Source organism: Homo sapiens, chromosome 11 (genome assembly GCF_000001405.40).
Source record: "Homo sapiens chromosome 11, GRCh38.p14 Primary Assembly".
NCBI classification, from domain to species: Eukaryota; Metazoa; Chordata; class Mammalia; order Primates; family Hominidae; genus Homo; species Homo sapiens.
The window spans coordinates 33,694,454-33,710,935 of record NC_000011.10 but is presented as its reverse complement, the minus strand read 5'-3'; the positions used below and the strand labels follow the sequence as shown (position 1 = coordinate 33,710,935).

Here is a 16,482-nt window from a genome sequence, read left to right as displayed (position 1 = left end):
ACTTTTTAAAAATTAATGGACTGGGTTTTTCAGGTTTTTTTCTGACCATTCTTGAGCATATATCTTATACATAGCTTTGGCTGGGCATGGTGGCTCACCCCTATAATTCTATCACTTTGGGAGGCTGAAGCAGGAGGACCACTTGAGCCCAGGAGTTCAAGACCAGATGACCGGGCAAGAAAGTGAGACCTTATCTCTCTAAAAAAAAAAAAGAAAAGAAAAGGAAAAAATCCCCAAGTAACTTCATAGCGTAAATTCTAAAAGTGGAATTGCTGGATCAAAGGGGGCATGTGTTTAAAATCTTGGCAGATATTACCAAATTTCCCTCTTAACAGTATAAATGCCTGTTCCTCCTCCGTCCCACCCCCATAACTATACTGGCTCTGATGAGACCTTGGTTTTCTGTAAAAGCTCTATTTAGAGGTGTATCATTATTTACTTAATTGTTCTCCTTTACAACCCACCTGGGATGAGCATCTTGCCTAGAAGTCTCTACTTGCACAGGATACATACGAAATAGAATTGAGGATTCAAAAGCAGATACAGAACTCTTCCCACTTACTTTCTTACCCTTGTGTGTGTCTCCCCACAGGGTTACAAGTGTATAACAAGTGTTGGAAGTTTGAGCATTGCAATTTCAACGACGTCACAACCCGCTTGAGGGAAAATGAGCTAACGTACTACTGCTGCAAGAAGGACCTGTGTAACTTTAACGAACAGCTTGAAAATGGTGGGACATCCTTATCAGAGAAAACAGTTCTTCTGCTGGTGACTCCATTTCTGGCAGCAGCCTGGAGCCTTCATCCCTAAGTCAACACCAGGAGAGCTTCTCCCAAACTCCCCGTTCCTGCGTAGTCCGCTTTCTCTTGCTGCCACATTCTAAAGGCTTGATATTTTCCAAATGGATCCTGTTGGGAAAGAATAAAATTAGCTTGAGCAACCTGGCTAAGATAGAGGGGCTCTGGGAGACTTTGAAGACCAGTCCTGTTTGCAGGGAAGCCCCACTTGAAGGAAGAAGTCTAAGAGTGAAGTAGGTGTGACTTGAACTAGATTGCATGCTTCCTCCTTTGCTCTTGGGAAGACCAGCTTTGCAGTGACAGCTTGAGTGGGTTCTCTGCAGCCCTCAGATTATTTTTCCTCTGGCTCCTTGGATGTAGTCAGTTAGCATCATTAGTACATCTTTGGAGGGTGGGGCAGGAGTATATGAGCATCCTCTCTCACATGGAACGCTTTCATAAACTTCAGGGATCCCGTGTTGCCATGGAGGCATGCCAAATGTTCCATATGTGGGTGTCAGTCAGGGACAACAAGATCCTTAATGCAGAGCTAGAGGACTTCTGGCAGGGAAGTGGGGAAGTGTTCCAGATAGCAGGGCATGAAAACTTAGAGAGGTACAAGTGGCTGAAAATCGAGTTTTTCCTCTGTCTTTAAATTTTATATGGGCTTTGTTATCTTCCACTGGAAAAGTGTAATAGCATACATCAATGGTGTGTTAAAGCTATTTCCTTGCCTTTTTTTTATTGGAATGGTAGGATATCTTGGCTTTGCCACACACAGTTACAGAGTGAACACTCTACTACATGTGACTGGCAGTATTAAGTGTGCTTATTTTAAATGTTACTGGTAGAAAGGCAGTTCAGGTATGTGTGTATATAGTATGAATGCAGTGGGGACACCCTTTGTGGTTACAGTTTGAGACTTCCAAAGGTCATCCTTAATAACAACAGATCTGCAGGGGTATGTTTTACCATCTGCATCCAGCCTCCTGCTAACTCCTAGCTGACTCAGCATAGATTGTATAAAATACCTTTGTAACGGCTCTTAGCACACTCACAGATGTTTGAGGCTTTCAGAAGCTCTTCTAAAAAATGATACACACCTTTCACAAGGGCAAACTTTTTCCTTTTCCCTGTGTATTCTAGTGAATGAATCTCAAGATTCAGTAGACCTAATGACATTTGTATTTTATGATCTTGGCTGTATTTAATGGCATAGGCTGACTTTTGCAGATGGAGGAATTTCTTGATTAATGTTGAAAAAAAACCCTTGATTATACTCTGTTGGACAAACCGAGTGCAATGAATGATGCTTTTCTGAAAATGAAATATAACAAGTGGGTGAATGTGGTTATGGCCGAAAAGGATATGCAGTATGCTTAATGGTAGCAACTGAAAGAAGACATCCTGAGCAGTGCCAGCTTTCTTCTGTTGATGCCGTTCCCTGAACATAGGAAAATAGAAACTTGCTTATCAAAACTTAGCATTACCTTGGTGCTCTGTGTTCTCTGTTAGCTCAGTGTCTTTCCTTACATCAATAGGTTTTTTTTTTTTTTTTTGGCCTGAGGAAGTACTGACCATGCCCACAGCCACCGGCTGAGCAAAGAAGCTCATTTCATGTGAGTTCTAAGGAATGAGAAACAATTTTGATGAATTTAAGCAGAAAATGAATTTCTGGGAACTTTTTTGGGGGCGGGGGGGTGGGGAATTCAGCCACACTCCAGAAAGCCAGGAGTCGACAGTTTTGGAAGCCTCTCTCAGGATTGAGATTCTAGGATGAGATTGGCTTACTGCTATCTTGTGTCATGTACCCACTTTTTGGCCAGACTACACTGGGAAGAAGGTAGTCCTCTAAAGCAAAATCTGAGTGCCACTAAATGGGGAGATGGGGCTGTTAAGCTGTCCAAATCAACAAGGGTCATATAAATGGCCTTAAACTTTGGGGTTGCTTTCTGCAAAAAGTTGCTGTGACTCATGCCATAGACAAGGTTGAGTGCCTGGACCCAAAGGCAATACTGTAATGTAAAGACATTTATAGTACTAGGCAAACAGCACCCCAGGTACTCCAGGCCCTCCTGGCTGGAGAGGGCTGTGGCAATAGAAAATTAGTGCCAACTGCAGTGAGTCAGCCTAGGTTAAATAGAGAGTGTAAGAGTGCTGGACAGGAACCTCCACCCTCATGTCACATTTCTTCAATGTGACCCTTCTGGCCCCTCTCCTCCTGACAGCGGAACAATGACTGCCCCGATAGGTGAGGCTGGAGGAAGAATCAGTCCTGTCCTTGGCAAGCTCTTCACTATGACAGTAAAGGCTCTCTGCCTGCTGCCAAGGCCTGTGACTTTCTAACCTGGCCTCACGCTGGGTAAGCTTAAGGTAGAGGTGCAGGATTAGCAAGCCCACCTGGCTACCAGGCCGACAGCTACATCCTCCAACTGACCCTGATCAACGAAGAGGGATTCATGTGTCTGTCTCAGTTGGTTCCAAATGAAACCAGGGAGCAGGGGAGTTAGGAATCGAACACCAGTCATGCCTACTGGCTCTCTGCTCGAGAGCCAATACCCTGTGCCCTCCACTCATCTGGATTTACAGGAACTGTCATAGTGTTCAGTATTGGGTGGTGATAAGCCCATTGGATTGTCCCCTTGGGGGGATGAGCTAGGGGTGCAAGGAACACCTGATGAGTAGATAAGTGGAGCTCATGGTATTTCCTGAAAGATGCTAATCTATTTGCCAAACTTGGTCTTGAATGTACTGGGGGCTTCAAGGTATGGGTATATTTTTCTTGTGTCCTTGCAGTTAGCCCCCATGTCTTATGTGTGTCCTGAAAAAATAAGAGCCTGCCCAAGACTTTGGGCCTCTTGACAGAATTAACCACTTTTATACATCTGAGTTCTCTTGGTAAGTTCTTTAGCAGTGTTCAAAGTCTACTAGCTCGCATTAGTTTCTGTTGCTGCCAACAGATCTGAACTAATGCTAACAGATCCCCCTGAGGGATTCTTGATGGGCTGAGCAGCTGGCTGGAGCTAGTACTGACTGACATTCATTGTGATGAGGGCAGCTTTCTGGTACAGGATTCTAAGCTCTATGTTTTATATACATTTTCATCTGTACTTGCACCTCACTTTACACAAGAGGAAACTATGCAAAGTTAGCTGGATCGCTCAAGGTCACTTAGGTAAGTTGGCAAGTCCATGCTTCCCACTCAGCTCCTCAGGTCAGCAAGTCTACTTCTCTGCCTATTTTGTATACTCTCTTTAATATGTGCCTAGCTTTGGAAAGTCTAGAATGGGTCCCTGGTGCCTTTTTACTTTGAAGAAATCAGTTTCTGCCTCTTTTTGGAAAAGAAAACAAAGTGCAATTGTTTTTTACTGGAAAGTTACCCAATAGCATGAGGTGAACAGGACGTAGTTAGGCCTTCCTGTAAACAGAAAATCATATCAAAACACTATCTTCCCATCTGTTTCTCAATGCCTGCTACTTCTTGTAGATATTTCATTTCAGGAGAGCAGCAGTTAAACCCGTGGATTTTGTAGTTAGGAACCTGGGTTCAAACCCTCTTCCACTAATTGGCTATGTCTCTGGACAAGTTTTTTTTTTTTTTTTTTTTTAAACCCTTTCTGAACTTTCACTTTCTATGTCTACCTCAAAGAATTGTTGTGAGGCTTGAGATAATGCATTTGTAAAGGGTCTGCCAGATAGGAAGATGCTAGTTATGGATTTACAAGGTTGTTAAGGCTGTAAGAGTCTAAAACCTACAGTGAATCACAATGCATTTACCCCCACTGACTTGGACATAAGTGAAAACTAGCCAGAAGTCTCTTTTTCAAATTACTTACAGGTTATTCAATATAAAATTTTTGTAATGGATAATCTTATTTATCTAAACTAAAGCTTCCTGTTTATACACACTCCTGTTATTCTGGGATAAGATAAATGACCACAGTACCTTAATTTCTAGGTGGGTGCCTGTGATGGTTCATTGTAGGTAAGGACATTTTCTCTTTTTCAGCAGCTGTGTAGGTCCAGAGCCTCTGGGAGAGGAGGGGGGTAGCATGCACCCAGCAGGGGACTGAACTGGGAAACTCAAGGTTCTTTTTACTGTGGGGTAGTGAGCTGCCTTTCTGTGATCGGTTTCCCTAGGGATGTTGCTGTTCCCCTCCTTGCTATTCGCAGCTACATACAACGTGGCCAACCCCAGTAGGCTGATCCTATATATGATCAGTGCTGGTGCTGACTCTCAATAGCCCCACCCAAGCTGGCTATAGGTTTACAGATACATTAATTAGGCAACCTAAAATATTGATGCTGGTGTTGGTGTGACATAATGCTATGGCCAGAACTGAAACTTAGAGTTATAATTCATGTATTAGGGTTCTCCAGAGGGACAGAATTAGTAGGATATATGTATATATGAAAGGGAGGTTATTAGGGAGAACTGGCTCCCACAGTTAGAAGGCGAAGTCGCACAATAGGCCGTCTGCAAGCTGGGTTAGAGAGAAGCCAGTAGTGGCTCAGCCTGAGTTCAAAAACCTCAAAACTGGGGAAGCTGACAGTGCAGCCAGCCTTCAGTCTGTGGCCAAAGGCCCAAGAGCCCCTGGCAACCAACCCACTGGTGCAAGTCCTAGATTCCAAAGGCTGAAGAACCTGGAGTCTGATGTCCAAGAGCAGGAAGAGTGGAAGAAAGCCAGAAGACTCAGCAAACAAGGTAGACAGTGTCTACCACCATAGTGGCCATACCAAAGAGGCTACCGATTCCTTCCTGCTACCTGGATCCCTGAAGTTGCCCTGGTCTCTGCACCTTCTAAACCTAGTTCTTAAGAGCTTTCCATTACATGAGCTGTCTCAAAGCCCTCCAATAAATTCTCAGTGTAAGCTTCTGTTGCTTGTGGACAGAAAATTCTGACAGACCTACCCTATAAGTGTTACTGTCAGGATAACATGAGAACGCACAACAGTAAGTGGTCACTAAGTGTTAGCTACGGTTATTTTGCCCAAGGTAGCATGGCTAGTTGATGCCGGTTGATGGGGCTTAAACCCAGCTCCCTCATCTTCCAGGCCTCTGTACTCCCTATTCCACTAAACTACCTCTCAGGTTTATTTTTTTAAATTCTTACTCTGCAAGTACATAGGACCACATTTACCTGGGAAAACAAGAATAAAGGCTGCTCTGCATTTTTTAGAAACTTTTTTGAAAGGGAGATGGGAATGCCTGCACCCCCAAGTCCAGACCAACACAATGGTTAATTGAGATGAATAATAAAGGAAAGACTGTTCTGGGCTTCCCAGAATAGCTTGGTCCTTAAATTGTGGCACAAACAACCTCCTGTCAGAGCCAGCCTCCTGCCAGGAAGAGGGGTAGGAGACTAGAGGCCGTGTGTGCAGCCTTGCCCTGAAGGCTAGGGTGACAATTTGGAGGCTGTCCAAACACCCTGGCCTCTAGAGCTGGCCTGTCTATTTGAAATGCCGGCTCTGATGCTAATCGGCGACCCTCAGGCAAGTTACTTAACCTTACATGCCTCAGTTTTCTCATCTGGAAAATGAGAACCCTAGGTTTAGGGTTGTTAGAAAAGTTAAATGAGTTAAGACAAGTGCCTGGGACACAGTAGCCTCTTGTGTGTGTTTATCATTATGTCCTCAGCAGGTCGTAGAAGCAGCTTCTCAGGTGTGAGGCTGGCGCGATTATCTGGAGTGGGTTGGGTTTTCTAGGATGGACCCCCTGCTGCATTTTCCTCATTCATCCACCAGGGCTTAATGGGGAATCAAGGAATCCATGTGTAACTGTATAATAACTGTAGCCACACTCCAATGACCACCTACTAGTTGTCCCTGGCACTGCTTATACATATGTCCATCAAATCAATCCTATGAAGTAGATACTGTCTTCATTTTATAGATCAGAGACAATTGGGGTTCAGAGAGCTGATGTGATTTTCCCAGGGTCACAGAGAGTCCCAGATTCAGGCACAACTCTTGTATTCCAAGACACAACCACTACATGTCCAAAGGCTGCCCAGAGCCACCGGGCACGGCAAATTGTGACATATCCCTAAAGAGGCTGAGCACCTGGTCAGGATCTGATGGCTGACAGTGTGTCCAGATGCAGAGCTGGAGTGGGGGAGGGGAAGGGGGGCTCCTTGGGACAGAGAAGGCTTTCTGTGCTTTCTCTGAAGGGAGCAGTCTGAGGACCAAGGGAACCCGGCAAACAGCACCTCAGGTACTCCAGGCCCTCCTGGCTGGAGAGGGCTGTGGCAATGGAAAATTAGTGCCAACTGCAATGAGTCAGCCTCGGTTAAATAGAGAGTGAAGAATGCTGGACAGGAACCTCCACCCTCATGTCACATTTCTTCAGTGTGACCCTTCTGGCCCCTCTCCTCCTGACAGCGGAACAATGACTGCCCCGATAGGTGAGGCTGGAGGAAGAATCAGTCCTGTCCTTGGCAAGCTCTTCACTATGACAGTAAAGGCTCTCTGCCTGCTGCCAAGGCCTGTGACTTTCTAACCTGGCCTCACGCTGGGTAAGCTTAAGGTAGAGGTGCAGGATTAGCAAGCCCACCTGGCTACCAGGCCGACAGCTACATCTTTCAACTGACCCTGATCAACGAAGAGGGACTTGTGTCTCTCAGTTGGTTCCAAATGAAACCAGGGAGCAGGGGCGTTAGGAAGCTCCAACAGGATGGTACTTAATGGGGCATTTGAGTGGAGAGGTAGGTGACATAGTGCTTTGGAGCCCAGGGAGGGAAAGGTTCTGCTGAAGTTGAATTCAAGACTGTTCTTTCATCACAAACTTGAGTTTCCTGGACATTTGTTTGCAGAAACAACCGTAGGGTTTTGCCTTAACCTCGTGGGTTTATTATTACCTCATAGGGACTTTGCCTCCTGACAGCAGTTTATGGGTGTTCATTGTGGCACTTGAGTTTTCTTGCATACTTGTTAGAGAAACCAAGTTTGTCATCAACTTCTTATTTAACCCCCTGGCTATAACTTCATGGATTATGTTATAATTAAGCCATCCAGAGTAAAATCTGTTTAGATTATCTTGGAGTAAGGGGGAAAAAATCTGTAATTTTTTCTCCTCAACTAGATATATACATAAAAAATGATTGTATTGCTTCATTTAAAAAATATAACGCAAAATCTCTTTTCCTTCTAAGGGCCTTTAATATGTAATAACAAGAGCTAATGTTGAACACAAGCCATTGCCAGGTACTTAAACTGTCTCACTTAGTCTTGCCAACCTAAGCAAGTAGATGCCATTACTATTCCCATTATATTGATGAAAAAATGAGGTTGAGAAAGGTTCAGCCGCACAGCCAAATACATAGTGGATCCAGGGTTTGGTCCCAAGTCTTGAGTCCAAAACCCTGGTTCTTACCATTACTGTGGTTCTGTAGGGGTGAAAAAATTTTTCTTCTAATCTCTTAGGTTCAGAGCCTGGGGCCTGAGAATTAAACTGACAAAGACAGATTAACAGAAGACAAAGTTTATTACGCAGGTACATGGGGTTCTTACAGAAACAAAGTGAAAACCCAAAGAAGTGGCTTGAGAGCTTATATACAATTTTAACAATGGGCGATTGTAGAAAAGTGATAAGACAAAGGAAAAGAGGTTTGAGCTTCTTGGGCAGTAAATTATGGGAAGTTAAATATGTGGGGGAAACTAATGGAAGATAAGGGTATTTTTTATTTTATTTTATTTTATTTATTTTGAGACAGGGTCCTGCCTTGTCACCCAGGCTGGAGTGCAGTGCTATGATTGTGGCTCACTGCAGCCTCAACCTCAGCCTCCTTGGTTCAAGAAATCCTCCCACTTCAGCTCCTGAGTGGCTCCAGGCAAATGCCACCACACCTGGTTAATTTTTTAAATTATTTTATAGAGACAGAATCTCGCTATGTTGCCCCTGGCTGTTCTCAAACTCTTGGCCTCAAGAGATCCCACCTCAGACTCCCAGAGTGCTGGGATTACAGGCTGGGTGCTGAGCTATCGCACATGGCCTGTATTAGCCATAGACTGAGGGGAAATACATTTTCTTGAGAGCCTCAGCCTAGTGATCACTTGTATGAATAAACAATGATGGGTGGCTGCCAAAGTCAGAGAGCAAATACTGCGTGTGACAACTAAGTGTGGGAAGCTCAGTGTGGGAAGAAAAAGCTTCCCAGTTTCAGACATGCCCCTTAGTAGGGACAGCTGCCTCTTGTGTTTGGACAAAGTGTCCAAGTTCAAGTGTTTCACACACACACTGTTCCGTCTTCTGTTTGATCACAACCCTATGAGGCAGCCTGGTTTTCTTATTTCTATTTTATGGAAAACCTACTTAAAAGTCAAGCAACTTGTCCAAGGCTACCCAGCTTGAATATCTGACTCTCTCCACTTTGCTGCTACACACACACACACACACACACACACACTTTGCACTGTGTGTGCAGATACATATGCATATATATATTTAACTTGTGAAGCTGATACTGACTCTTTAACTGCCCTCCACCCATCACTAGTCATACCAGTGATCATTAGGCAGAGGCTCTCAAGAAAATGTATTAGTTATTTCCCCTCAGTCTATGGCTAATACAGGTTACTCACATAAATGAGCTGTCATGTCCTTTGGACAAAATGTCCAAATCGCTCATAAGCAATGGGTGAAGTATTTGAGGTAGGGCGGACAGGATTTCCTTTTGGTGGTTAGCTCGTTGCCTGTTAGCTCCTGGTGATATCTGTGTTTGGAAGAGAACTAAACTGCATTTCACTGAAAACACTCCTTCAGGTCTATTACAAACCAGATGAGGATCCCCTTTTCTAGAATCTTCCTCAACACTGCTAACGTTTGGCAGATACATAGGTTGGCTCTAACAGCCATTCCCAATCAATCCTCTTCTCCTTTGTCTGCCTCCCACAGTAGTGGATGAAAAATCAGACACTGATTTTCTCAGACTTCTTTGCTGTGGGCGCGGCCAGTGAGGCAATGAGGTAAGTCTGCTGGTGCAGGGGCCAGGTTTCTAGGAAATACTTTTCTCCCTCATGGGAGAAAGAGAGGAAGCCTGAAGTAAGCTTTCTTCTGCAGCCCTGGCCCGCTGCCTGTTCTGGATGAGGGTATGCTGGGATATGACAACGGAAGCCAGCGGGGTCGCAGAGCAAGAGCGAGGCGGTGGGCGGAGTCGAGGGACGGGAGGCGAGGCGAGGCGAGCCAGGGGGCGTGGCTTTCTAACTGCGGGGTGCGGCCAGCCGAGGTGGGCGGGGCCGCGTTCCGGGACGTGGTCGTCCGGGCTTTGGAACCCCGCCTGTTAGGGGCCGGGCTGAGGCGAAAGGGTGGGGCCGCGCTCCATCGGGGCGGGGCTTGTGGAACCTCGAAACCCCGGCGACTCGGGGCCTGAGCGCGCGTCTCCCGGCGCGGGGTTCCTCCCACGCAGACCCTCATTCAAACGATGCCAAAGGGGCGGCGCGGCAGCCACAGCCCCACCATGAGCCAGCGGTCGGCTCCGCCCCTCTATTTCCCGTCCCTGTACGACCGCGGCATCTCCTCGTCCCCGCTCAGCGACTTCAACATCTGGAAGAAGCTCTTCGTGCCGCTGAAGGCGGGCGGGGCGCCAGTGGGCGGGGCGGCGGGGGCCCGGTCCCTGTCCCAGGCGCTCCCCGCCCCGGCGCCCCCGCCCCCGCCACCACCCGGCCTGGGTCCCTCCAGCGAGCGCCCCTGGCCCTCGCCCTGGCCCTCCGGCCTGGCCTCCATCCCCTACGAGCCTCTGCGCTTCTTCTACTCACCGCCGCCGGGGCCTGAGGTGGTTGCCTCGCCCCTGGTCCCCTGCCCCTCGACCCCCAGGCTCGCCTCTGCCTCCCACCCGGAGGAGCTCTGCGAGCTGGAGATCCGGATTAAGGAGCTGGAGTTGCTCACCATCACTGGGGACGGCTTCGACTCCCAGAGCTGTGCGTGACCTCGCCAGGGCCACCGAGCCCAGCCTTAGCCTGCCCTAGCTCCCTCCTTGGCTCCGTGCCCCGACCCGAAATGTAGCCTGGTTTGACTCCAGCCCCCAGTAGTCCCAGATCCAAAATCTATCCCCTAGCACCCAGACTCCCTTATCCTGGACTTAACCGACTCCTCCCCCCACCACAGATCTGAACTTCATGAGCCTCTTAGTCCCAAACTCCATCCTCCCTCCGTCCTAAACCCTTTGGGTCATCTGGACTCTGAGCCTCCACACCTGGAACTCCATCCGCCACCACCCCGTCCTGAACTTTAATCCTCCTGCACAGTCATCCTCCTACCCTGTACTCTGGAGCTCCACCCACCACAGACAGTCCCTAAGCTTTAATGTTCGGTCCTAAACCGGGGCTCTCCATGGGGGGAAGGTGAAGTAAGGTGACTGTCAGTTGTCTGTAGGGGGAGGTGGGAGTTGTGCAAGAACCACAAGGCCCAAGGCCGTTTCCAGGGCAGCTTTGGGACACTCCACTTCTCAATGCTGGGGGGCAGCCCCCCTGGGACTCTGTGGCCTTGGCGCCGGTAGTTCTCTCACCAGGATCCTGGGCTGATATCTGGTCTTACGTCTGAAGTCTTAGGGCTCTGGACCACGTGTGCTGATGCGGGCAGGATCCCTCAGCCTACGAGCTGAATGACTCCTCCCTGTTGGAGGGTAAAGTTGTTAAATGCCTTGTACTCCAAGAAGGACCTATTGCAAAGTAGAACTTTCAGTAGCGGTAGGTTGTCCTGCAGACTTTGTCTTTCCCATCACTTGTTTTGGCTAAGGCTTGTCCTTGACCACTGGAGAAGGGCAGATAGTTCTAAAAAGATCATTCCAACTATCGTATATAACGGCTTAAGTTGGCTTCCCCTGCCACACAGAGAAGGGAAGTATGAAATAACCTAAATGCTTAGGTCCGTGTGGCCATGGAAATGGTCTTCAGTTCATCAGACACACTGTAATGCACCCTTTCTCATAGCCATGGAAGGAAGACAGTCCCTAGAAAAACTGGGCTTTGCTAAGTCCTGGATTTCTTAACTATGAATACATACATAATACTATGTATTCATAGTTAAGAAATCTTAACCGAATACATAGTTAAGAAATCCAGGGGCCGGGTGTGGTGGCTGGCACTTGTAATCTCAGCACTTTGGGGGGGCCAATGCGGGTGGATCATTTGAGGTCAGGAGCCTGACCAACAAGAGGATCATTGAGGACCAGCCTGACCAACATGGTAAAACCCTGTCTCTACTAAAATACAAAAATGAGCCGGGCTTGGTGGCACACATTTGTAATCTCATCTACTCGGGAGGATGAGGCAGGAGAATCGCTTGAACCCAGGAGGCCGAGGTTGCAGTAAGCCAAGATTGTGCCACTGCACTCCAACCTGGGTGAAAGAGTGAGACTCCCTCTCAAAAAAAAAAAAAAAAAAAAAAAATTAGAAGAAGAAGAAATCCAGGACTTAGCAACTCTGACTGTAAAAACACATGTAACTGGATGTGTTGCATGTACAGTCAGAACCAGTTACATGTTTTTACAGTCAGAGTTTTCAGTTTTTTGTTTTTTTCTCTCCCATCTTGGATCACAAATGGAGTTTTAGGGTCGAGGAAGCACAGTTGCTTCCCAAGAGTTTGCTTTGGAAGTGTTAGGAAAAGCCCTTATCTCTATTACGGCTAAGTTTGTTTTGCTCTCCTGCAGACACATTCCTGAAGGCGCTAAAAGACGAAAAGTTACAAGGACTGAAGACCAAGCAACCTGGAAAGAAGTCGGCCTCTCTCTCCTGAGGAGCTGCCTACCAGAGCTTGGGCAGCCACCTCCTTAGGTGTTAGTGCTTAGATAATGTGTCCCATTTGTTGTCATTTCAAAGATGGTTATTTTCTGTTCTGTATTTACCGCTGTTCTTGTTGCTACCAGCATGTACTTCACATACAGTGCCCACTTTGTGTGGTAAATCTCATGGTCTCTCTCCTCTCTATGTGCTGCTGAGGGAGCTCTCTCATGGTGTCTAGAAGCTGCTGTCCAGCCAGCATTCAAGGTCTCCCGAGACCAGGGAGGGAACCCCCAACACTACCACAGTCATGCAAACCAGAACAACAGATTATCAGGAAGGAATCGGGAGAAACCAAGGGCAATGTATATATTGGTTCTACTGCTGTGTCTCTGCTCAGAAAGGTTCTTTGAGGACTGGAATAGTGGAGGTTTGGTGTGTGGTTTGTTTTTTTTCCCAAACATATTTACTCCTTGGAAGTGGTTGGTGTTTTCATTTTTTTTAAAATGTTTTTTGGACCACAAACTCTCTGATAATCTTATCAAAGCCCTGGACCTTCCTAGAAATTCATATATTCAAGAAATATTTATTGAGTGCTTATTTTGTGCCTAGGCACTTGGGATTGGGGGTGGGGGAGAGACAGACAATAAATATTATAAATAAGTAAATCATAATATGGTATCATAGAAGATGACATGCTAAGGGGGAAAAAAAAGCAGAGTAAGGATTGCCAGGGTGGGTCAGAGGAAGGCAGGGCAGAATTTCACATGGGGTTTCTTGAAGACGTATTATTTAAACAAGGTCTGAAGGAGGTTGAGGGTCATAGCCACGTGACACCCTAGGGAATGTGCCAGGTAGAAGGGCCAGTGCAAAGGCTGCTTCAAAGATGGGAGCATGGCAGCATTTTTGAGAACCAGCAAACAGTCCAGATGGCTGGAGCAGGAGGAGTGAGGGGAGAGTGGTAGGGGTGAATACACAGGGGGCCCATTTGTATAGAGCCTTATAGTCACAGTAAGGACTCTGGGCTTTACTCCAAGTGGGACAGAGTCATTAGACAGCCTTCTGGGGAGTGACAGGATCTGACTTGTGCTGCTGTGATATGAATAGACTACCGGGGTGCAAGCAAGGAGGCAGGGAGAGCAGTCAGGAGGCTGTAGTAATTAATATTCCAGCTAAAAAGACCATGCTGAGCCCGGCGTGGTGGTGCACACCTGTAGTCCCAGCTACTCAGGAGGCTGGGGTGGGAAGGATCGCTTGACCCCAGGTGTTCAAAGTTACAGTGAGCTATGACCATGCCACTGGCATGCCAGCTTGGGCAACAGAGCAAGACCCTGTCTCTAAAAATTAACCAAGTAAAAGATCATGCGGGTAGCAGTGGGTGTGGTGAGAAGTATCAGGCAATTGAAGCACAGAGTGGTAATCTAAGATAGGAGAACACAGGTGGAACAGGTTTTGGTGAGAAGGAGGAGCACAGGTGGAACAGCTTTTGGGGAGACAATCAGCAGTTTTATTTGGGATATGTGAAGTTTTTGGTGTCTGGTAGACCTCCTGGTGGAGAAGCTGTGTAGCAGGGGCCCATATAAGCCTGGAGTTCAGGAGAAAGCCTGGGCTGGAGGTACACGTTGGGGAGTTGCTGACAGGTAGGTTTATTTAAAAAACGAAGTCAAATGAAATCACTGAGGGAGTGAGGGTAGGGAGAAAGAGAACCAAATATTGAGGGTGGAGGCACTCTCACTTAAGAAGATGGGGAGAACAGGAGGAACCTGCAAAGGAGAATGAAAAGGAGTGGAGTCAGGTGTCTCGGCAGCCAAAGGAGGAAGTGGTCGCCTCTGACAGACTGTGCCGACAGGCCAAGTAAGGTGAGCCTGAGAATTTGCCCTTGGATTTTGCCGCATGTTAGTACTGATCTTGCCAGAACAGTTTTGGTTGAGTGATAGGGGTAATGCCTGACTGGAGTGGTATTAAAAGTGAATGAAAGGGGATGATTTGGAGACAATGGGTGTAGCTCACTCTTTAGAGGAGTTAAGCTGCAGAAGATCACAGAGAATGAGAGCAGTAGCTGGTAGGGCAAGTGGGGATAAGAGAAGGTTTTTATTAAGATGGGAGAAATAACCATGGCCTGAGAGAAATGACCCAATAGAGAGAGAAAAAGTGATGATGTAGAAGAGATCTGGGAAATTGCTGGAATCGTGTCCTTGAGTGGTCAAGAGAGGTGGTGTCTTAGTCTGTTTTGTGCTGCTATAACTCCACAGACTGGAGTATCTATAAAGAACAGAAATTTATTCTCACAGTTCTGGAGGCAAGTAAGGTGGAGATTAAAGCACCAACAGTTTGGATCGTGATGTCTCTGCTTCCAAGATGACGCCTTGAATGCTATGTCTTCCAGAGGGGAGGAACAGTTAGCTCTGTCTTCTCATGGCAGAAGAGCAGGAGAGAAGAGGGAACCCACTCCAGCAAGCAATTTTTTTTTTTTTTTTTTGAGATGGAGTCTCGGTCTGTCGCCCAGGCTGGAGTGCAGTGGCGCAATCTCGGCTCACTGCAAGCTCACGCTTTTAATAGCGACATGAATTTATTCATGAGGGCTCTGCCTAGATTCTAAACACCTCTTCTTAGGTCTCTCCTCCCAGTAGTGTTACACTGAGGATTAAGTTCCCAACACATGCATTTTGGAAGGGACAAAAACATTCAAACCACAGCAGGGGGTATCTAGTTTACAGTAAAGAGATTGGCTTTTGAGGGGAGCCGAGATGGCTCATTTGTAGTAACAGGAGTTACATCTGTGGCATGGGGGTGCAGATGCCGGTAGATGGGTAAACGGGGAGGTGGGAACCCTAGAAGTTGCGTACACATACACAAAAGTTTGTCTAGCTACCTCTATCTTGAGGACACAGAGGCACATGCCTACAAGGTCAGGCTGGAAACCTGGAACAGCGGCCAGGAAGCCAGGTGGAAACTGGCAAGTCACAGAGCTCGTGCCCCCACTACAGGGGCAGCGGACACCCAGCTCCAGCTTGTTGTTGCCAGGGCAGCAGTGTGAGCACAGGGCCAGGTGAAAGCTGCTGGTTTCTAAATCTTAACAATGAATTCAAATGTTTCCAAAACACTAGGCAGGCCAAGTAAAATAAAGGTGGAAAGTCCCCAGACATGTTAACCTCTGCTTTACACACAGAAACCCTCCTACTCCAGGCAGAGATTCCAGGCCCTTCTGGAATCCAGATATTGATTCCAGGAATCAATATCTCCCCAGGAAGAAGCCAGATTTGAGCCCTAGGCTGGTTGCTACCAGAGAAGCTCCTTTGTTCTCCCAGAAAACTTCAGGCTGGCCAGGCCAGAGGGCAGTGAAGGGCGCAGGGTGGGGGTGGAGAATCTTAATAAGAATAAATGGGAACAAACCAGGCATCAGGAAAACCAAGTGCAGAGCTCAGATGGAGACAGAGATGTCTGGCATGGCCTTGTTTCTTTCCCCAGAGTCCCAACAGCCCTCCCTAGGCCATATTCCTTAAAAGTGCCCAACTGCTAAGTGCAAGCCATGTGCTGGGCACTAAGGGAGTCGGTGGAGTTGAATAATTTAATTCTCACTGCCAGCTGGTGAAACAGATACTGTTCTTGGCATGTTTTACAAATGAGGAAGCAGAGGCTCAGAGAGGGAAAGTGGCTTACCCACAGGCACATGGCTAGGATGTTGCAGGGTTGGGTTTAGAACTCAGGTCTATCAAGGCTACCCCAACCTCTCCTTCCACAGTGAGGTGCCAATACAGGAGAAGCTTGAGGTGAGCCATAAAAAAGAAGCATCCAGCATTTCTTCCAGGAACTCTCATCCCCTTGGAGCTATCAGGTGTCCTCTTGATGCCCTTAAAATGGTGGGTGGCAGGGCAGGACCATTGGGGATGATGACGCAACACTTGCTTGCCCCTGACCCCTCAGTGCTCACACACACACCTGTGGGTGGAGGGGGCGGGGAACACCTGCAGTAGGTACAGTCTCCTGTCCT

General features: G+C 47.2%; 2 protein-coding genes across 10 annotated transcripts in view, besides 2 other annotated features; both read left to right on the top strand.

Annotated features, from left to right (window-relative positions):
* CD59 (CD59 molecule (CD59 blood group)) overlaps positions 1 to 7,926 on the top strand; it is a 33,470-nt gene extending 25,544 nt beyond the window's left edge. For all 8 annotated transcript variants that reach the window (NM_203330.2, NM_000611.6, NM_203331.3 and 5 more), the window contains one exon: positions 593 to 7,926. In NM_203330.2, coding sequence (NP_976075.1) covers positions 593 to 810 — 218 coding nt within the window. In that variant the 3' untranslated portion in view covers positions 811 to 7,926. The remainder of the gene's footprint in view (positions 1 to 592) is intronic.
* Positions 4,386 to 12,675, top strand: C11orf91 (chromosome 11 open reading frame 91). Of its 2 annotated transcripts, XM_017017053.2 has the most exons (3): positions 4,386 to 8,268; positions 9,670 to 10,691; positions 12,422 to 12,675. In XM_017017053.2, exons 2-3 carry the CDS (start codon positions 10,196 to 10,198, stop codon positions 12,505 to 12,507), a joined length of 582 nt encoding a protein of 193 aa, XP_016872542.1. In that variant the 5' UTR covers positions 4,386 to 8,268; positions 9,670 to 10,195; the 3' UTR covers positions 12,508 to 12,675. The 2 variants fall into 2 exon arrangements, with proteins under 2 accessions (XP_016872542.1, NP_001160164.1); NM_001166692.2 differs by lacking the exon at positions 4,386 to 8,268 and having other exon boundaries at positions 10,110 to 10,691.
* Positions 9,935 to 10,174: a silencer, noted in NCBI's record as "silent region_3240". NCBI's record gives its function as "represses an Ori minimal core promoter by ATAC-STARR-seq in GM12878 lymphoblastoid cells {active_cell/tissue: GM12878}" and the evidence as "EXISTENCE:reporter gene assay evidence [ECO:0000049][PMID:35858748]".
* Positions 10,355 to 10,444: a silencer, noted in NCBI's record as "silent region_3239". NCBI's record gives its function as "represses an Ori minimal core promoter by ATAC-STARR-seq in GM12878 lymphoblastoid cells {active_cell/tissue: GM12878}" and the evidence as "EXISTENCE:reporter gene assay evidence [ECO:0000049][PMID:35858748]".
* Positions 12,676 to 16,482: the final 3,807 nt, after the last annotated feature.

What these genes read in the sequence shown, in the direction of transcription:
- C11orf91 (XM_017017053.2), top strand. Translation starts at nt 10,196, where the DNA reads ATGCCAAAGGGGCGGCGCGGCAGCCACAGCCCCACCATGAGCCAGCGG. An exon ending in CGGCTTCGACTCCCAGAGCT is followed by an intron (nt 10,692 to 12,421) that starts GTGCGTGACCTC and finishes GCTCTCCTGCAG; the next exon opens with ACACATTCCTGAAGGCGCTA.